At 35.6% G+C, this 23,145-nt stretch overlaps 1 annotated feature.

The window, feature by feature from the left end:
* Nucleotides 12,271-12,504: a silencer, noted in NCBI's record as "fragment chr11:23729002-23729235 (GRCh37/hg19 assembly coordinates)". NCBI's record gives its function as "represses an EF-1alpha promoter that drives an FKBP-Casp9 reporter gene in an ReSE screen in K562 erythroleukemia cells {active_cell/tissue: K562}" and the evidence as "EXISTENCE:reporter gene assay evidence [ECO:0000049][PMID:32094911]".

Consider the following 23,145-nt stretch of genomic DNA (forward strand, 5'->3'; position numbering starts at 1 on the left):
CTGAATCTCTTTTATTTTTCTGCATGACTCTCATACCCATGCAAATTACCATTTTAAAATACGATATTAGGCATCTTCATACTTCTGGGAAATACATATTGTTGTTTATTTCAGAATTACAAATTAACTAATTTATGGAAATGAACAACTGTTTAAAGGAATAAGATAGCTATTTTTTATTCAAAAGGGAGAAAAGATTTTTCTAAGGAAGATCATACTGAGATTAAATAACAAAACAGGATGGGGAAGTTCTTTGCTTCATATACCAATTTCTTTTATATACTTGATAACATTTCGAAGAGAAAACGTCTTTCCTATCGATAATATGACAGGTTTATCAGTCATTAGATAAAACATAATTTTTAATTAAAATAACAGCATTCGAATTTACAGAAAAGGTATCTAAATTATATATTTATAATTTTACTTTGTGTGTGTGTGTGTGTGTGTGTGTGTGTGTGTATTCATATATATACATGGGGTGGTTAAAAGTAGGGACCCCTAGTCAAATGGACAACATTGCAAATTCTGTCTTACTCTCTTTCTTTCATGTATTTGAATGTATGATCTTAGAAAAGTCATTTAGCTTTCTCTACTTTTATTTCCTCACCATGTAAAATGGGGAAAATAAAACATACCTAGAGCTATGTATCTATTACATTAACAAGATAGAAGGTGTAGAAATCTATACCAAAATTTGGCATTTATGTGTTAAATGGAAGCTTAAAAACATTTCAGAGTACATTTTCTACAGTTGATCTATACTTACCTTAATCTCTGGGAGGCTATTTTTGCAAGATTTTCAATATTTCATAATATGTTTGATACACTTTGGTATACAATCACTGTTACTTCCCACTATTTTACAAAGTAACTATTCAGAGCTGTATAATCACAAATTTTGAGTAAAAAGTAATAGCATTAATTGATTTGGAAAATAGTGAGTTCTGTGCCACATAATCAATGCACATACATGATGGCAAATGACCTTTCTAAGTTACTGAAGTAATGAATACATTTAGAAGAAGTAGAGCTAAAGTAATGGTTCCCAAACATAGCAGCACATTATACTTATCTGGTGAGCATTAAAGATACAGATAGCTTGGTCTAACCCTGATCAAATAAACCTAAACATTTTGAGGGTAATTATTGAGAAATATAAATTTTGAATAAAGCTTACCTGGTAGTTTTGATGAAAATAGTCTTTAAGCATCAATTGAAACCATTGAATTTAGATTTTTTCTTTATTTATCTAGTATAAGAATAAGAAAAAAAAACAAAACTTAATCTAATCTATAGCAAATAAAGCATATTTTAGGACTTTACTTGGTTATGGACCCCATCTTTAATATTAATACAAAATTTTTTTTTCTCTATCATAACCTTAACACCTCTTAGCCATCCAATAAAGGCTATAGCATTTGAAGAAAACAAATTATTTGTTTTGAGTTCAAGATGCAGCTGTGCTTTCTTTTATGCATACAAAAATAATTATGGAAAAATTATAATACACGAGGCACTATATTCTTTAACGTCATGATAGTCTAGATAATCATTGCTCCAAATTCAGGCCTACGTATTGCAAATCTCCTAAACTGCTCTTCTTGGGCACTCAGCCCGCTGAAAATACTGCTGACCTAAAACTCTGTTTTCAGTGGCAAGAAAAATATACAGAGGAAGTCTCACCACACAAAGACTTAGCAGGACATGAAGTGTGGTCCCTGTCTGAATTATTGCACAATAAATGGCAAAAAGGAGACAGTAGCCACTGTCAGCCCTGGCCCAGGGCTGTATCTACATCAATTTAATTTTACAGTTGAGGCTAATTATGCTAAAAACTCAAAAGCATACCAAACATGCAGAGATGCTAAATGGAGTGAAGAGCATTGGTAATAACATGGGTATAAGCTATAAGAGGGAAAAAAATAATTATTTAAATATAGTTAAGTATAATGTAACAGATGCCCTTCTGTAAATACAGTAACTTCTCATTCAGCCATCTGTGCTCCAACTTGTTTAGTCAAAAACATGCATTTACAAAGTTTTACTCCATTTGCAGGAAGATACCCTTGTTGTGTTTGCGTATTGGCTGTTTCTGGATTCCAAGCTGTTTTCATTCAACAAGATGCAACTTGTGAAACAAGAGAATCAAAGCACACATTTACTTTGTTTGAAACCCTATGTCTACATAAGATCCCATAGAGGCTCTGTGCTTCCTTAACCCCATTGTTTTTTTAACTGAACTTTAGGATTTTGAGATAATTGTAGATTCATATGTAATTGCAAGAAATAATACAATCTCTGATGTACTCTATTAGATATTATCTATATATCTAATGTTGATACATAATTTTATGTTTATTAAGAGATATTATGTACTCCTTACTCAGTTTCCCTCAATGATAATATCTTGAAAATCTATCACAATTCAATTTTGACCCCTGTAATAAAATCTTGATAGACTAAGAGTCAACTCTCTTAACAAATCAGCTAATGTAGGGGAGAGGCCGTATTTTATTCACCTTTGTATAATCACTGACTATTTAATAATATAGTAACAGTTGCAACTGAATTATTGTTTGGAATAACTGGTCTTTGGAATGATTACCAGGGCTGCATTACAAAGAGGTAAGGACCCAGGTGATGGTCAGATTTCTGTTTCTTCACAAGGTAAGGTCATGTGTCTCTTTATAATTGATGACTAAAATATCACTGGAATCAGCTTGACATAACGTTTTGTCTCTCAACTAAAACAAGGGTCTATTTTGATTCTTTTGGTTAAAACTGGGTCAACATAAAATATTCTAAATGACCTGCTATGAATTCCAAAATAAGTAATCCATACACTTGTATTTATGATCCATGGAATACAGACTTTTAATAACAATAATTGTTGTATGTTTATAATCAACACATAAAAACGTAACTACTGTATTTCATTTGACTTTTATTAGCTTTCAATTTTCAAATTTCAAGGAGTGAAATGTTTTTAACATATGTGAATAAATAAATGCATATAAATATAGGTACTTAGCTACAAAAGAATGATGACACTTTGATTTAAACTATTTACAGTAGATATAATAAAATATTAGTTAATTTAGAATGTAACTTATGTTTAGCACATGAATTAGATTTCTTGGTTTATTCTGCTTCTCCCATTAACTGCTCATATTTTAACTTTTTTTTCTCACTTTGCTACTAATAGGAAGCAAGAAAAAAGTCATATGTTCATAGTCAATTTTTGCTTGTTAACAACTCTGGGAATTAGAGTAAAATGAAGATGTTTTTTTTTTTGGAGATTTATTATACTAGTTCTATAACCCATAGAGGTGAATACTTCAGCCTTGATATTAGTCAATGCAATTAAATTAAAATGATTGGCTAATGACAGGGAAAAATAATACTTGGTTCACTGAAAGACCCCCTTTAGCCCTTGCATTAGTTTTCTATAGCTACAGTCACAAATTATTGCAAACTCGATGGCTTAAAAAACACAAATAATCTTATAGTTTTGTAGCTTATAGTTTTGTGAAATGGGTCTTATTGGGCTAAAATGAGATGTCAGCAGGGCCTCATTCATTTCTGAAGGATCCAGGGAAGAATCTGTGTACTTGCCCTTGCCAGGTTCTAGAAGTTTCTTATATTTGTTGCTCATAGCTCTCTTTCTCTATCTTCAAAGCCAACAATTACGGGCTGAGTTCTTACACACATTATTCTGACCTCCACTTTTGTAATAAAATTTTTCTCTGCCTCTCTCTTCTGACTTCTTTTCCACTTTTAAGGACCGTTGTGATTACATTGAGCTTCACAGGATAGTGCAGGATAATTTCCACATCTCAGGATCCTTAATTATATCTCTTAATCAAGGCTCTTCTTCATTTAAGGTAAAATATTCTTAGCTTCTGAAAAGAACAAATGTGGAAGCATCACATTACCTGATGTCAAATTGTGCTATAAGGCCATAGTCACCAAAACAGAATGGTACTCATATAAAAACAGGCACAAAAACCAATAGAACAGAATAGAGAACCCAGAAATAAACCCAAATACTTATAGCCACCTGATCTTTGACAAAGCAAACAAAAACATAAAATGGGAAAAGGACATCCTATTCAACAAATGGCACTGGGATAATTGGCAAGCCACATGTAGGAGAATGAAACTGGATCTCATCTCTCACCTTATACAAAATCAACTCAAGATGGATCAAGGACTTAAATATTAGACCTGAAACTATAAAAATTCTAGAAGATAACACTGGGAAAACCCCTCTAGACATTGTCTTAGACAAAGATTTCATGACCAATGACCCAAAAGGAAATACAACAAAAACAAAGATAAATAGGTGGCACTTAATTAAACTAAAGAGCATTTGCATGGAAAGAGAAGCAGTCAGCAGAATAAGCAGACAACCCACAGAGTGGGAGAAAATCTTGGCAATCTATATATCTGACAGAGGACTAATATCCAGAATCTACAAGGGACTCAAATTAGCAAGAAAAAAGCCAAATGGGCGGGGGCCTGGTGGCTTATGCCTGTAAACCCAGCCACTTTGGGAGGCCGAGCAGGAGGATTACTTGAGGTCAGGAGTTCAAGACCAGCCTGGCTAACACGGTGAAACTCTGTCTTTACTAAAAACAAAACAACAACAAAAAAATAGCCGGTGTAGTGGTGCATGCTTGTAGTCCTGGCTACTTGGGAGGCTGAGGTGGGACAATCTCTTGAACCCGGGAAGCAGAGGTTGTAGAGAACCAAGATCACACCACTGCGCTGCAGCCTGGTTACAGAGAGAGACTCCATCTCAAAAAAAGTTAATAATAGCAATAATAATAATAATACTATGCTACAATAAAATTGTAGATTCATTATTATTACTTTAGTGTCCACTTTTAAACCTGGGAGTTATCCATGACAGCTTTCTTTAACTGTCCCCAACCTTATCCCCTCAATTACCAAGTCTCATTGAGTTTTACCTCCTAAATATATCTTCAATCTTCTGCTGCTACTACCTTGACCTGACAGACTTTGCGCTGCAAGGCCATTAAAAGCAGGATTATTATCTCTTTTTTCTTACAGATTTAATGCAGTGAGTTAAAAAACTGATCATTGATCAAGAGAAATACAAATAGTTCCCAGTCTAGGACAGCAAGAATAAAACTGAAAAGAGAAGTGTAACTCTTGCCATTAATGATACCACAATACATAATGATTAAGATTGAATAAACTAATATTTTACCATTTTGTGATATATAAGAATCTTTAAAATTACATGGTCTGTCCGTGTTTACATTACTAAAGCCCAATATTAATGCAAAAGCTTTTTTTAAAAAAAAATTGGTATTAATATTAATGAAATTTTGATGTGAATATTAATTTCATGAAAAAGGAAAGTGATACCTATTTTTACCCAGGAAAAAAAAATATGTGAACTGAAAAGTTTATAGTAGGCCTATTTTGAGGAAAATTAAAAACAACCTAATTGTTACATATGTGAAAATAAATAAATATGATATATCTGCTAGATGAAATATTAGGTAGTGGGAAAAGTATACATATTCATTTGGAAGGTAAAAATATAATTGAGAAGAAAAATTAGAAAAAAAGATGATATTTTTGGTGTGTAATAAGTTGTAGGGTTTTTTGGTTGTGAAGTTTTTTTAATTTTAATTTTTAGTATTGCTATGTTGTTCTTAGAGTAATTTATTTGATTATGATGTATCAAATAAAAATGTATCAATAACTAACAATAATAGAAAGTCTTTGTATAAAGTGATAATCATTACTATTGCTGATTTAGATGCTAGTTTTTCTAGGAAAACGTCTAACAAATCTCCATATCCATGTTGCCTGATATGCCATGTTCACCAGCATTTTGTGAGACCGTGAAGCGGTTAAGAATGTGGCCTCTGGATCTAGATTATCTGAATTTGATTTGGCTCTGTCAGTTACAAGCTGTATGTCCTTGAAAACGTTCCTTTATCTCTCCATACCCCGAGTTCCTAAATACAGATGTACCTAAAAAAAATAGAACATTGCTGGAGTATAGTTTTGAATAATAACTATTAACTACAAATAGTAAAGAAATAAAGTTCTTTAAATTCATTAAACCACCTGTTTTCCCCAGATGTTTCCACCATATTCCCCTTGCATATTTTCAGAAAATTTTTTACTATTTTTTTTATGGCAATGGCTATTTAAAATTAAAATAATCCTCAGTATACTCTGTGTTCTCCAAACTTTCAAGAATTTTGTGAAGCACTGGAGCATGGTTTGTAATGTCAGGGAAGAGAAGGCCAAGTGTTCAACCTGGGAACCTACAAGTGAGGCACCAGAGTGAAAAGCTTGGCTTCTAGTGGGTACTAGGAACAGCTCAGAGGCAGAATCCACCAAATGTAATTAATGGACAGACAGAGGAGGTCAGACACAAAAGAAAGGGCAAAAAAACAGAGTGGCTATTTTTTACAATTTTGTCTGGAGGAAGCCCTTGAAATTTGCTTGCAAGCTGAAAAATGTGCTTACAAGCTCAAAGTTTCTTGTTGCTTAGCTGCCCTCTTCAAGGTTATATCTAAAATTAGAATGATCTGAATTTATACATTTATTTTAAATTTGCCACAAAATTTTTATTAATTAAACGTCTGTGGTGTGTTTTAAAATGTGGGCTTGTCGTTAATACATTCACAACCACAAAAATAAATAAAACTTCCCACTCATCAGAAACTAAAATCATCTGAATATGCACCTTAATTTTAGTCAGTGTAGCAATAGAATTGAGAAATTCATTCAAGTTTATAAAAAGAAAGTCTCTTTCCAATTTGCTAAAATAGTCATATAATATAATATAATACCATACATATATAAAATATAATGAAATTACGGAAATGACAGCTAATCAACTTTGCCATATTTATAAGAAGTGTATCATAGATCCTGACTGAATTCAAGTGGTGGGGATTACAAAGGTGCATAGTTGATTAAGGGTAACTTAGAGCTCAAGATAGAGTGTGTCTGCCACAGAAATGACCATCAACGTCTCTGTTCCTGTTTCACTGCATCATATTTGAGCCATAGTATAAGGTAGGAGTGACAGCAGTAGCAGCAGAACTGGGACATCCACATGAAGGATGTGAATCAAACCAATACATTTTTTCTGCAGGATGCTGCATCACAGCAGGTGAAGGGTATCCACTTCATGTGGAGACAGATGAGCCAAAGGTAGATGTAAATCTCACTTAAAAGGGCCACCTGGCTCTGAGGAAACTATAGACACAGTCTGTAGTGATGAATATCAGAAAAAGAAGAAAGGAATTTAGCAGGAAACTATTCTGATTGCACCACAGAAAGCACTGCTGACTTGCTGGGATATCTGTTAAAATAGAAGGCTATAGCATAGATGTCTAAAACAGAATTTATCACACTAAAAGCTCTCAATCAATATCCATGCTGGTTGCATAGTTTGCAATTGCATGTGTGAACAGAATAGACTGGGCTGAAATCATCTTTACACAGTAGTAACTTCGTTGTGATCTTTTACTTTTTTGTCATATTATCTGCTACATTAAATGATCTTGAACCTGAGGCACAATTTTTATTTCATGCTTAACAAGTACATTTGAAAAATCTCAATGTATAATGACCACAAATAAGTTAGTATCAATTGAGTTTTAAGGTAGCTAATTACAGTAGGAGAAGTATATAGGAAAATCTATTAGACTTTTCATTCACCAGACTAGATGAAATAGCAATCAATATAATATTTATCACTTAACTTTAAAGTATTGATCCCTGTGCGCTAAATACTTCGCTTCTCATGTATTATTAAGCTAATGGTTAAAAAAAAATCACGTCACAAAAATAAATAAAGGTAAATGTAATGTAATTTTCCCATGGCTGTGCAGCTAGTAGGAAGTAGAATGGGTCTTTAAATCCAGGTTTGTCTGACAAAACAGTGTTTGTCATGCCCTAATCATATTTTGAAACAGTAAAAATAGATATTTTCTTCTGAGGGTGATGGGCATGAGGAAGAGGAAAATGGAGGATCATAATGAAGAAAAATTACAAGTCTCATTTCATCAGCAGCAAAGAAAGAATTAGGAAAATGTTTTTCCTACAGCATCAGAAATAACAGTTGAGAAATGTTGCAATGAATGAAAGAATGTTAACTAGGTAACTTAAAACTTATAATACAGGCTGGGCGTGGTGTCTCACACCTGTAATACAGCACTTTGGGAGATCGAGGCAGGCGGATCACAAGGTCAGGATTTTGAGACCAGACTGGCCAACATGGTAGAATGTGTCTACTAAAGAAACACAAAAATTAGCCGGGCATGGTGGCATGCGCCCATAATCCCAGCTACTCGGAAGGGTGAGGCGGAAGAATAGAATTGCTTGAACCCAGGAGGTGGAGGTTGAAGTGAACCAAGATCACCCCACTGCACTCCAGCCTGGGAGACAGAGCAAGACTCCATCTAAAAAAAAAACCCAAAAAGCAAGAAACTTGTAATACATTTTGTTTCAGAATTTCACTATTGGCAACATTAATAAAGCCAATATTATTAGATTATTATAAAATTTCTTCAGTCAAATGAAATTATAGAACCATCTCAAAGAATATCAATTTATTCACTTAAAGATTTATTAAGCATCTAATATATGGCAGATAATATGTTAAACTCTATAGTTAAAATAGTTAAAGTTGATTCCCCTGCTTAAGTGGCTTATATTCTAATGAATGAAACTGGGACGGCATTGTAGCTATATAAACAAGTAAGTGAAGATATAAATAATTACAGCTTGTTTTTCACCATTTGCTTCACCATCAGCCTGAGGTTTAATCACCATTGTCTTTTGGTTTGATGAAAAGGAGTTACATAGTACATTTCTGCTTCTATTCTAACATCTATCTACTGTTTCAGATAAATTCTTACCCATAATAGTCATATTTACAAAGGTTTTCTGATGAATAATAATTACATTTTGTAAATGCAGTGCACGTGCATTAGTAGTACAAGAAATATAAACCATACTAATTTAAGTAAATAGTTTAATGGAGTTTTTAAGATAATTATTTTCATAAAACAATTGGACATACACATGACAGGCACTGAAATAATATACAGATCCCTGCTCAGTGAAATAAAATTTCATTAGTCAATTGTTCACAGGAACATGAGGAAAAGCATGTGCTTTTGATCGAGACCAGTGTACAAGCAACTGTCATGTTAAAGTTGATCTTGAGAAATCTACTTATATTTACAAGGCCCAAGGGCCAATACTTTGCTTTAATTGTAATAATGTCAAGAGTTATTATGAAGATGAAGGTGACAAACTAAAGGTATTCATCAATAGTTACTTTAATTATTTTTATGCCATTAAAAACTTGGGAGGACACAAAAACAGCTGTCAACTTAAAGTTGCAAGAAGCTGCCAAATCTATTTATTCATCTTATTTGTTTAGCTTTGGCGTGGCAATTGCTAGAAAAGTGCAGAGAAAAGTGCTTCCAGATGCCTTTCCCATGGCCCACCATACCCCAACAGCACACAACAATATATAACATCAACATAGGTTAAAACTATTTGTCTTAGTCTGTCTTGCATTGCTATAGCTGAATACCTGAGACTAGATAATTTACAAAGAAAATAGGTTTATTTGGCTCATAATTCTGGTAGCTGAAAGGTTCAAGGCTGAGCAGCTGCATCTGCTAAGGACCTCAGACTGCTTCTAATCATGGCAGAAAGCAGAACGGGATCAGATGTGGGCAAAGAGACCGCCTGATATGATAGGAGGTAAGAGAGAGAAACTGAGAAAGCCTGACTTTTTTCAACAACTTGCTCTAATTCATTCCCACCTGAAGAAGAACTTACTCACCCCATGCGAGGGCATTAATCTATTCATGAGCGGTCTCCCCTCATGATCAAATGCCTCCACTATGTCCCATCTCCCAACATTGCCACACTATGCATCAAATTTCAACAAAAATTTTAGTGGAGACAAACCACATGCAAATGATGGCACTATTGCTGAAAAATAACTCGAGATTCCTTCAATGATTTTTTTGCCCTCACTAAGTAAACACCTGTGGTTATCCAGAATACAAAGTATATTCTTCTTGTTGAAGAATAACCAAAATAATCTTTGGAGATTTCACTGAAGAAAACAGACCTAACCAGGTGAAAAAGGTAAAACAAAAATTAACACGTGCCTAACATTCATTTCTGTCATTCTCTGTCCCAATTCTCGAAATAACACACTTAAAAAGACAACTTTGTTAATAAGAACTGTGATTGGAGAACATTGTGGCCCCTGAAGCTGATCAGTGATGGATGTGCTTTTTATGACCTTTGATTGTAGAACGCAAGTCTCAGATTTTGATAACTATTTCTTAGAATAACAGATAAGAGTAAAAAGAGTAAGAGAAATACACACTGAAAATTAGGCTTCTTCAGCATAAAAAGTCATGAAACTTAAGTGATAGATGAGCTCTATCTGGCTCCATTTCCTCATTTTAGAGATAGGGTCCCTGAAATTCAAGGAACCTAAACAATCAGCCTAAGATCAAACAACTACTAGAAAAGGGGCTTAAAATAATAGATCTCATTTCTGAGTCTAGTACTCTTTTTCTTACCTATTAACTATAAATACTGTAGTTGACTATAAAAATTGTAAACATAAGGAATTAGTAGGAATAGAGAAAAACTACAAAACATGAAATTGAAGTGCATGTATTTCTAAATAATGTATTATTTTTCTTTCCCACATGGTCCTTTATTATTATGTAAATGGACAATTTCTTTTATATTTAGAAGTTTAGCTTCTCGTTATATCTGGGACATGTAATACGTTTATTAAACATATTTTGATTTGCACATATTTTTGATCACACATTAATTTTATGCATATAACTGCATTGACATTCTGTTTCAAAACAGTTGATACAAATGAATACGTTTAGCAAGTATATATAACACTCAGATGAACACTTGGGAGCCCATCACCTGACTTAAGAATTTGAATATTACTAATATACTTGGTTTCCTCTTGTGTCCTTCCTGAACCAACTCCTCTTATTCTTCTGTGACTACATACTCAAGAGATAATGATGTCTTGAACTATTTGCTTGTTTTGATTCAATTTTTAAATTATCCTTTTGCTTCTCTTTATAAAGTCATATACCATTCATTTTTGCTTGTTTTATCTCCATAGATATTACTTCATGTTTATGTTACATTTTCATATTTGGTAAAATTCAAATACTCTCATATCAAACAGAACATTAGAAAGTTAAAGAAATAAAATTGAGCATAATGTCTAAATTGATTTGAGAAAAAAAGTCATATTTATGTTAAGTGTACTTAAAAATCTCTATATTTTATTTTTATGTTGGTGAAAAAACATGCAACTTAAAATATACTCCACTAAACTTTTAATTACACAGTACAATATTATTGACTATCTGTGCCTTGTTGTAGAACAGATTTCTAGAACTCTTTCTTCTTGCATGACTGAAAACATATCCATTGTACAGCAAATTCATATTTATGTCTCCACTCTGCTTCTGGAAGCCACCATTCTATTTTCTGCTTATATAAATTTGACTACTTTAGATGCCTCATATAAGTGAAATCATGTAGGTTTTGTCCATCTTTGAATGACTTATTTCACTTCGCATAATGTCTTTAAGGTTCATCTATGTTGTAGCATATGGCAAGAATTTCTTATTTTTCAAGATGGAATAATATTCCACTGTATGCATATATCACATTTTCTTTATCCATTCAGCTGCTGATAGACATTTAGGTTGTTTCTGCCTCTTGGTTATTGGAAATAATGCTGTAATAAACATGGGAGTGCAAATATCTCTTCAAGATTCTCTTTTCCATTATCTTGGATAAATACCTAGAAGTGAGATTGCTGGGTTAGATGGGCAGTTCTATGTTTAATTTTTTTAGGGACCCTCCATGCTGTTTTTCATACGAAAAGCACCATTTTACATTCCAACCAACAGTTCAAAAGGGATCCAGAGAGAGGAGGAGCAAGATGGCAGATCATCACCCCCCAGCTCCAACAAGGACCCCAAGTAAAAAACTTTCTACACATAAAAAAAACACCTTCATAAGAACCAGAAATCATATGAGTACTCATAATACCTCATTTTAACTTCATATCCCTGAAAGAGTCACTGAAGGAATAGAAAAAACAGTCCTGAATGCCAACACCACTTCCCCCCCACCCTCAGCATCTGCAATGCGGTGCACAGAGCCTCTCTGGGCACTGGGGGTGGGAGAACAAAGTAATTGTAAGGCATTGAACTCAGTGCTGTTCTGTAGACCAAAAAAAAAAAAAAAAAGAACCCAACCAAACAAACAAAAAACTAACAAACCAAACTACTTAACTGACACCTTGCTTACAGAGGAAGACGCATTTAAACCAGCCCTGGCCAGAGGGAATAGCCCATTGCAGCGATCAGAAATGGAATGCCTGTAAACCTTGCCACTGAGGGACAAAGTGCCCTCAGTCTGTAAGTAAAGTTGAAAGGCAGTCAATCCATAAGGACTGCAACCCTTAGGCAAGTCTTAGGGATAAACTAGAGACAGTGGACTGGGTAGTGGGAACACGTGACATACTGAGGCACCAGCTGGGGAGGCCAAGGGAGTACTGGCATCACCCCTCCCAGGCTGTACAGCTCCTGGCTCCAAGACAACCCTTCTTTCTGCTTGAGGAGAAGAGAGGAAGAGTGAGGAGTACTTCATCTTACATCTTGGATACTATCTCAGCCACAGCAGGATAGGGCACTGAGCAGAGTTGTGAGGTCCCCTTTCTTGGTCCAAGAACCCAGATGACATTTCCAGAAACACTTTAGGCCAGAAACTAATCCATTGCCTTGAAAGAAAGGACCCAGTCCTGCCAGCATTCATCACCTGCTAATTGAAGATTCCTTGGGCCCTAAATAACCAGCAGCAATACCCAGGTACAACATCTCAGGGCTTGGTGAGCCTCTGAGACTTACTGGTTTCAGATGAGACTCAGCACATTACCAACTGTGATGGCTACCAGGCAAAACTCCTCCTGGGGGAGAAAAGCAGAGGGGAATGTAAAGAGGGCTTTGTCTTTCACCTTAGGTACCAACACCACCACAGTGGGGTAGACCACTAAGCAGGCTCTTGGGGTCTTCAGTTTCAGGGCTTGACTTTTGGACAGCATTTGTGGACCTGCCCTGGGGAGGGCAGGCCACTGCCCTGAATGGTAAGTTCCAAGCCAGGCGACATTCACCACAAGCTGACTTAAGAGCCCTTGGGCATTAAGGGAACACTAGTAGTAGTCTGGCAGTGATCCTCATGGCAAGAGTTGGCAGTGGCTTTAAGGTGAGCTCCTCTGCCTTTAGAAAAGGGAGGAAAGAGTGAGAAGGACTGTGTCTTGTGGTTTGAGTGCAAGGTCAGCCATGATACGATTAAATACCAGATAGACTTTTAAGGTGTTTGACTCTAGTCCCCTGACACATGGAGGGCAGTTTTGGATCCACCCACTGCCTGGGGACCTCATGCCCTTAAGGGAAGAACACAGGCCTGGCTGCCTTTGTCACCTGCTGATTGTAGAGTCCCCAGGCCTTAAGCAAACATAGGCAGTAGGCAGAGAGTGGTTACAATAGGCTTTGGGCAAGACCCAGCACTTTGCTGACTTAAGGTCTAACCCAGTGCAGTCATAGTGGTGGTAGCCATAGGGGTGTGTGTGTCACTCCATGCCCAGCTAGAGATGGTTCAGAAGGGAGAGAGACTCACTATGTTTGGGAAAAAGGAAGGCAGGACAACAAGAGTCCCTGACTGGTAATTCAGAGAATTCTCCCAGATCTTGTCCAAGACCATCAAGGTGGTATCTCTGAATCTGCCAGAACCAGCAGTGTTACTAGGCTTAAAGTGCCTCCTAAAGTAGAGACAGATTAGATCACAACACTCAAGTCCTTTCAAATATTTGGAAACCCTTCCCAAAAAGAATGGCTGCAAATAAACCCAGCGAGTGAAGACTACAACAAATACCTAACTCTTCAATGCCCAGACACCAAAGAACTTTTACTAGGATCAACACCATCCAGAAAAAACATTACCTCACAAAATGAACTAAGTAAGACACCAGGGATCAATCCTGAAGAAACAGAGATATGTGACCTTTTAGACAGAGAATTCAATATAGCTGTGTTGAGAAAATGCAAAGAAATTCAAGATATCACAGAAAAGGAATTCAGAATTCTATGAAATAAACTTAACAAAGATATGAAAATAATTTTTAAAAATCTAGCAGAAATTCCGGAACTGAAAAATTCAATTCTCATACTGACCAATGCATCAGAGTCCGTTAATAGCAGAATGAATCAAGCAGAAGAATTAGCGAGCTTGAAGACAAGCTATTAGAAAATACACAGTCAGGGCTGGGTGCAGTGGCTCATGCCTGTAATCCTAGCACTTTGGGAGGCTGAGGCGGGTGGATCACAAGGTTGGGAGATTGAGACCATCCTGGCTAACACGGTGAAATCCTGTCTCTACTAAAAATACAAAAAGTTAGCCGGGCATGGTGGCAGGCGCCTGTAGTCCCAGTTACTTGGGAGGCTGAGGCAGGAGAATGGCGTGAACCCAGGAGACAGAGCTTGCAGTGAGCCGAGAACATGCCACTACACTCCAGCCTGGGCGACAGAGAGAGACTCCATCTAAAAAAAAAAAAAAGAAAAGAAAAAAAGAAAAAGATAAAGAAAATACACAGTCAGAAGAGACAAAAAAGAAGGAAGAAAAAACGAAGCACTGCTGCAGGAACTAGAAAATAGCCTCAAAAGGGAAAATCTAAAAGTTATTGGCCTTAAAGAGTAGGTAGAGAAAGAGATAGGGGTAGAAAGTTTATTCAAAGGGATAATAACAGATAACTTTTCAAACTTACAGAAAAATGTCAATATCTAAGTACAAGAAGGTTATAGAAAACCAAGCAGATTTAACCCCCCCAAAATACTACCTCAAGGCATTTAATAATTAAACTCCCAAAGGTCAAGAATAAAGAAAGGATTCTAAAAGCAGCAAGAGAAAAGAAACAAACAATGTACAATGGAGCATCTACATGCCTGGCAGCAGACTTTTGAGTGGAGATCTTATAGGCCATGAGACAGAGGGATAACATACTTAAAGTGATGAAGGATAAAAAATTTTATCTACTTTTCTTGAGCCCATTTGTTGAAGAGAATATCCTTTCCTTGGTGTGTATTCCTGGCGCCTTTATCGAAGACCAATTGATCATATACACAAGGGTTTTCTGGGCATTCTATTCTATTCTATTCTATTCTATTCTATTCTATTCTATTCTATTCTATTCTATTCTATTCTATTCTATTCTATTCTATTTATTTGATTCTATTCTATTCTATTGGTGTAAAGTCTGTCTTTTTTTTTTTTTTTTTTTTCAGACGAAGTCTTGCTCTGTCACCCAGGCTCTAGTGCAGTGGTGCAATCTCGGCTCACTGCCACCTCCACCTGCTGGGTTCAAGCAATTCTCTTTCAGCAATATTTTGTAGTTTTCAGAGTATAAATAATTTACCTCTTTGGTTAAGTTTATTCTTAAGTATTTTTGTGCTATTATAAAGAAACTAGTTTTTTTCAATTTCTTTTTCAGATTGTTCATTGTTAGTGTATAGCTGATTTTTGTATGTTGATCATGTATGCTGCAATATTGCTGAATTTATTTATTAGCTCTTTATTTTTTTCTATATGTGGAAGATTTAGAGTATTTTACGTATAAGATCATGTCCTCTGTAACTAATATTATTTCTTCATTTCCAACTTGGGGTGCCTCTTTCTTCCCTCATTCCCTCTTTCCTTGTCTCCCTTTCTTCCTCCCTCCCTTCCTTCCTTCCTTCCCAAGGGCTGTAAAACTTTTAGTACTATGTTGCACAAAAGTTATGGGAGTGAGAGTCCTTGCCTTGTTAATAATCTTCAAGAAAATTCTTTTGGTTCTTCACTGTTGACAATGATAGCTGTCGGATTTCCATATGTGGACTTTATTATGTTAAAGTAACATCCTTCTATTTCTAGTTTTTTGAGTGATTTTTATCATGAAAGGGTGTCGAATTTTGTCAAATGCTTTTCTTGTGCATCAGTTGAAATGATCATGTGACTTTCTACTGGTTTGCTGTAAGTTTTTTGATAATTTTTGCATTAATACTTATCAGGGATAATGGTCTATAATTTCTTTCTTTTTTTTTTTGTCTCATGTTGGTATGAGAGTCATACTGGCCTAGTAAAATGGGTTTGGAAATATTTTCTCTTCTCAAATTTTTGGAACAGTTCAATAAAGCTTGGCATTAATTTTTTAACCCCATAAATACATGAAACTACTATGTACAGATAAAAATCAAAATTAAAAATAAAATAAAATAAAATAAATGCTTGGAGGAATTCACTAGTGAAGCCATCTTGTCTTGAGCTATTTGTTGTTGTTGTTGAGTTATTTTTGATTACTGATTTAATCGTTTTACTAGTTGTAAGTCTGTTAAGATTTTCTATTATTTCGTAAATCAGTCATGGTAGGCTTTATGTTTCTAAGAATTTATTCCTTCCAGGTTATTCAACTTGTTGGTGAATAATTGTTCATATTTGTCTCCTACAGTCTTTTTAAAAAATTTCTGTGACATTAGTTGTAATGTCTCCTCTTTCATTTCTGATATTAGTTATTTGAGTCCTCTCTCTTTTTCAATTAGTAAACATAGCTAAGAGTATTTCAATTTTGTTGATCTTTTCAAACATCAAATATCAGTTTTTTTATTTCTTTTTTAATATTTTATATTATTTGTTTTATTTATTTCTGCTCCTAATCTTTATTATTTCCTTCATTTTCCTACATTTTGGCTTAGATTCTTCTTTCTTTCTTTCTTGTTTCTTCTTCCTTCTTCCTTGAAGTGGGCTGCACAGCAGGAGGTGAGTGACAAGCAAGCGAGCAAAGCTTCCTCTGTATTTACAGCAGCTCCCTATCATTCTTATTACCACCTGAGCACCACTTCCTGTCAGATCAGTGGCAGCATTGGATTCTCATCAGAATGCAAATGCTGTTGTGAACTTCCTGTGTTAGGAATCTAGGTTGTACATTCCTTATGGGAATCTAATGCCTGATGATCTGTCACTGTTGCCCATCAACCACAGATGGGACCATCTAGTTGTAGAAAAAGAAGCTCAGGATTCCCACTGATTCTACATTATGGTGAGTTGTATATTTTATTATATTTTACAATGTAATAATAAAAATAAGGTGCACAATACAATTTAATGCCTACCTTTTCTGTATCCTTAAGATTTGGTATGCTATGTTTTCTGTTTTCATTTATCTCAAAATAGTTTCTAATTTCCCTTTGATTTTTTCTTTGACCCATTGGTTGCTTGCAGGAGTGCTGTTTAATTTATGTTTAAAAAATAATTTCAACTTTTATTTTAGATTCAGTGGGGTACCTGTGTGAGTTTGTTATATTTCTTATATGTGTGAGTTTGTTATATGGTATGATGCTAATGTTTGGAATAAAAATAATGCTGTCATCCAGGTAATTAGAATAGCACACAACGGTTTCAGTTTTCTTTTAACCCTTCCCCCATCCTTTCCTCTCCCCTTTAGTAGTTCCCAGTGTCTATTGTTCCCATCCCATCTTTCTTTTTTTTTTTTTTTTTTTTTTTTTTGGTTTTTAGACAAGATCTTGCTTTGTCTCCTAGGCTGAAGTGCAGTGGCATGATCATGGCTCACTGCAGCCTCAATCTTCAGGGCTCAAGCAATCCTCCCACCTCAGCTTCCCAAGGAGCTGGGACTTGCAGGCACATACTACCACACCCAGATAATTTTTGGATTTTTTTTTTCTTTAATAGAGACAAGGTCTCGGCATGTTGCTCAGGTTGGCCTCGAACTCTGGGGCTCAAGTAATCCACCCACCTCAGCCTCCCAAAATGCTGAGATTACAGGCGTGAACCACCATGCCAGGCCGGCTATTGTTCCCTCTTTATATCCACATGTACTTACTGTTTACCTCTCATATACAAGTGAGAATAGGCAGTTATTTGTTATGGAGTTATTTGTTTCTTTGCTTGTTTAATTGTTTAAGTTCCTTATAGATTATGGATATTAGACCTTTGTCAGATCCATAGTTTACAAATATTTTCTGCAATTCTGTAGGTTGTCTGTTTATTAATAATAGTCTCTTTTGCTGTGCAGAAGCTCTTTAGTTTAATTAGGTCCTACATGTTAATTTTTGTTTTTGTTGTAATTGCTTTTGAGAGCTTAGTCATAAATTATTTCCCAAGGCTGATATACAGAATGGTGTTTCCAAGGTTTACTTTTAAGATTCTTATAGTTTGAGGTTATACATTTAAATCTGTAATCCATCTTGAGTTAATTTCGTATGTGTTGAAAGATAGGGAGCCAGTTTCATCTTTCCTCATATGGCTAGCCAGCTATTCTAACATCATTTATTGACTAGACAGTCCTTTCTCCATTGCTTATTTTTGTGGACTTTGTCAAAGATCAGAAGGCTGTAAGTGTGTAGCTTTATTTCTGGATTCTTTTTTATATTCCATAAGTTTGTGTGTCTATTTTGTATGAGTACTATGCTGTTTTGATTATTGTAGCTCTGTAGTATAGTTTGAAATCAGGTAATGTGATGCTCCTAATTTTGTTCTTTTTGCATAGAATTGCTTTGGCTGTTGGGGCTCCTTTTTGGTTCCACACAAATTTTAGAATAGATTTTTCTAATTCTATGAAAAATGAAATTGGTGATTTGACTGGAATAGTGTTGAATCTGTAAATCGCTTTGGGCAGTATGACTATTTTTTTTAACAATATTGATTCTCCCAATTCATGAACATGCAATGTTTTTCCATTTGTTTGTGTCATCTCTGATTTCTTTCAGCAGTGTTTTATTCTCCCTGTAGAGAACTTTTACCTCCTTGGTTATATGCATTCCTACATTTTGTGTGTATGTGTGTGTGTGTATATTTTAAAAGGGATTGCTTTCTTGATTTGGTTCTCAGCTTGAACGTTATTGGTGTATAAAAATGCTACTGATTTTTACACAGTGATTTTTTTATCTTGAAACTTTACTGAAGTTATTTGTCAGTTCCGGGTGCCTATTGGCAGGGTAGTTAGGGTTTCCTATAAATAGAATCATACTGTTTTGAAGAAAGATAGTTTGACTTCTTTTCCTATTTGGATAGCTTTTATTTCATTTTTTTGTCTGATTTAATTTTCACATTTATGAACTTTTCAGTTTTCCTTCTGCTCTTGATTTCTAGTTTCATTGTTGTAACAGAAATTACTCACTATTAAATATGTTATTTAAATATGTTATTTATTTATTTATTTATCCTGCCTGAGCTTTAGTTTCCTTAGTTGTAAAATGAAAATCTTAAGATTGACTCCATAGGGTTGTCATGAGTATTTAAGAAGATAATAAATACAAATTTCATAGCACAAGCCCTGGTACATACTGGGAGCTTTAATAAATTACAGTTTTTATAATTTGTTAAATAAGCAAATATCAGAAAAATAAAGCCTTTTGCAATTTAATAGAGAAAAAACCCCACAAAATTATTTTAAGAAATAATATATCCTACAGCTTTCCCCCACCCCTTCATATCTTTAACATCTCCTTAATTCTATAATTTGAGCATCAGAACCAAGTAAAACTATGGGAGATATGAAAAGTAACAGAGAAAAGCCTCTTTCCTCAAGAACTTCACAATCCAAGTTAGAATTTTACATAAATGTGCTAATACAAAGAGCCATAATAAAAGTAAAGTGCTTGAGGAGATTAATTCTAGCAAGGTGATCTGGAATAATTTTAACAACATAGAACTAGCCAGTTAAAATATTTTTGTCATTGTTCAACTCTCATATTTTAAAATGTCCACTTTACCTACAGTAAAAAGGTAATAATGTAAAAGGACTATTGTGTTCTGCTAAATACCTCTAAAGTCTTCAGTGCATTTTAGTTTTTAAGGAGAGTCATATGTGCTACAATTGGCTGAAATTGCTATTCAAAAGAAAATAAAAGCAGTAAGTGTAAAGAATGGAAGACAGAGTCATGCTTCAGTAAACACAAGCAAAAATCTCAGTCTCATGAATATGACAAATAATTAAGAATAATTGAACGTTGAGAAATTTACATGTTGGAGTTGAAACGCTGGTGATGTGATGAGGAAGCTTATGCTTGGTGCTAATGAGTGAGTAACAGTTACACGGCTTTCATTGAAGCTGAAATTCTTTTTATTTTTCCAAGCCTATCAACACGCTACTCTTCTGAAAGAAAAGATTATAAATTTTGGTTTTTAGAATAACATTAATTATCTTCTGGAAAAGGATTTCATAATAATTTTAGTTCTGTATGATACCAAAATGCTTCAAGGTTGAAAATTTGGCTGTATTCTAGTATGAGATGCTTGACCAAGATTTTTGATTATTGAATCATCTTAAGTCTCTCACTTCACATGATGCCATCACCGTACAGATTTAGTCAAATATTAATCCTCTCGCTGAATGTTATTTATCATCTGTGAATGGAAATATATAAGCCAAGTTAGGGTCAGAGTGTTTTGTAAGTATTAAATAAAGTATTAACATTCATTTAAGAGTCAGTTGTTATTTTCCTTAAAGATGATCTAATCAGTGAACTCCTTAAGGACTCAAGCATCTTGCAGTTTCCTAAGGAGGTTTCATAGACTGAAAATGGGCTGGAGGTGAATACTGAGACAAGTAAGTGGGAAAATACTAAAATGTTAAATGTGCCAATGTTGTTCTTAATGATTTATATCATGGTATGTCATTATGAGATTTTTCTTCCCCAATGCTTATTCAGAAATTTAATTACTACATTCGGGGTTTTTTGTTTTTTATTTTTTCCTTTTTTTGAGACGGAGTCTTTCTCTGTCTCCTAGGCTGGAGTGCAGTGGCGTGATCTCGGCTCACTGCAAGCTCCACCTCCCAGGTTCATGGCATTCTCCTTCCTCAGCCTCCCGAGTAGCTGGGACCACAGGCGCCCACTACCACGCCAGGCTAATTTTTTGTATTTTTAGTAAAGACGGGATTTCACCGTGTTAGCCAGGATGATCTCGATCTCCTGACCTCGTGACCCGCCTGCCTCGGCCTCCCAAAGTGCTAGGCATGATGACTCATGCCTGGCCTATATTCAGGTTTTTAATCAATCATAAATATCTGCGAATGATACTGAGGAGAAATCTCATTTTCTTTATTTTTTTTATCTGATTAAATAATTTTTCTACAGTCATTATAGAATAATGTATACTTTCTCTCTGTCAATGCCATGCCTTTCTGAATTTTAATCCTTTTATGCACTACTGAAGACTTCTTTTATCATGGAAAAATCATTTGTCCTCTCATAGATCAAGTTTCACCCACAAAACTTCATTTTTAAAACAAGAATGTATCAACAAGTATTGTTAGAGGCTAAATTATGTAGCCCCCAAATTCATATGTTAAAATCTTAACACCTGAGTAGATCAGAAGGTGACCATATTTAGATATAAGATATTTTAAAACGTAATTAAGTTAAATGAAGTAAATGGGGAGACCCTAATCCAATATAGCTGGTGTCCATATAGGAAGAGGAAATATGGACACAAACATGTAGAGAGGGAAAACCATATGAGGACACAGGGAAAAGATGGCCATTGATATGATTTGGATTTGCATCCCTACTCAAATCTCATGTAGAATTGGAAGAGGTGCTTGTTGGGAAATGAATGGTTCATGTGAGCAGATTTCCCCCTTGCTGGTCTCATGACAGTGAGTGAGTTCTCATGAGATCTGATAGTTTAAAAGTGTGAGGCACTTCCCCTGTTGCTCTCTCTTTCTCTCCTGCCACCATGTGAAGAAGGTGCTTGCTTCCCCTTCTTCCTCCACCATGCCTGAAAGTTTCCTGAGGCCACCCAGTCGTTCTTCCTGTTAATCTTATGGAACTGTGAGTCAGTGAAACCTCTTTTCTTCATAAATTGCCCAGTCTTAGGTGGTTCTTCATAGCAGTGTGAGAATTGCACAGCGTGAAAATTGGTACCAGAAGAGTGGGGCACTGCTATAAAGATACCTGAAAATGTGGAAGCAACTTTGGAACTGGGTAATAGGCAGAGGCTTGAACAGTTTGGAGGGTGCGGAAGAAGATAGGAAGATATGGAAAAATTTGAAACCTCCTAGAGACTTGTTGAATGGTTTTGACCAAAATGCTAATAGTGATGTGGACAATGAAGTCCAGGCTGAGGTGGTTTCAGATAGAGATGCAGAGTTTATAGGAAACTGGAGTAAAGGTCACTTTTGCTATGCTTTAACAAAGAGAGTGGCAGCATTTTGCCCCCTGCCCTAGAGATCTGTGAATATTTGAACTTGAGAAAGATGATTTAGAGTATCCAGTAGAATACATTTCTAAGCAGCAAAGCATTCAAAATGTGACTTAGATATTTTTTAAATTGTGCACTCATATACATGAACAAAGAGATTATCTGAAACTGGAACATACATTTTAAAGGGAAACAGTGCATAAAAGTTTGAAAAATTTGCAGTCCAGCCATGTGGTAGAAAAGAAAACCCTATTTTCTCAGGAGAAATTCAAGCCCAAGCTGACTGCAGATATTTGCTTAAGTAAAAGGAACTGACTGTTAATAGCCAAGACAATGGAGGAAATGTGTCCCAAGCATTTCAGAGAACGTCAAATCAACCCCTCCCATCACAGGTCCCAAGGCCTAGGAGGAAAAAATGGTTTCCTGGGTCAGGCCCAGGGCCTAGCTGCTCTGTGCAGCCTCAGGACATGGTGCCCTGCATCACAGCCACTCCAGCTCCTTTTGTGGCTAAAGGGGTCCAAGGCACAGCTCAGGCCATTGCTTCAGAGAGTCCAAACCCCGAGCCTTGACAGCTTCCACATGGTGTTGAGCCTCAGAAGGCAACTCAGAAGGCAAGAGTTGAGGTTTGGGAACCTCCACCTAAAGTTCAGAGGATATATGGAAACTCCTGAATGGGATGTCCAGGCAGATGTCTGCTGCAGGGGCCGAGCTCTCATGGAGAATCTCTCCTAGGGCAGTGCAAATAGGAAATGTGGGGTTGAAGCCCCAACACAGAGTCCCCACTGGGACACTGCCTAG

The sequence above is a fragment of the Homo sapiens genome, chromosome 11 (assembly GCF_000001405.40).
Source record: "Homo sapiens chromosome 11, GRCh38.p14 Primary Assembly".
NCBI classification, from domain to species: Eukaryota; Metazoa; Chordata; class Mammalia; order Primates; family Hominidae; genus Homo; species Homo sapiens.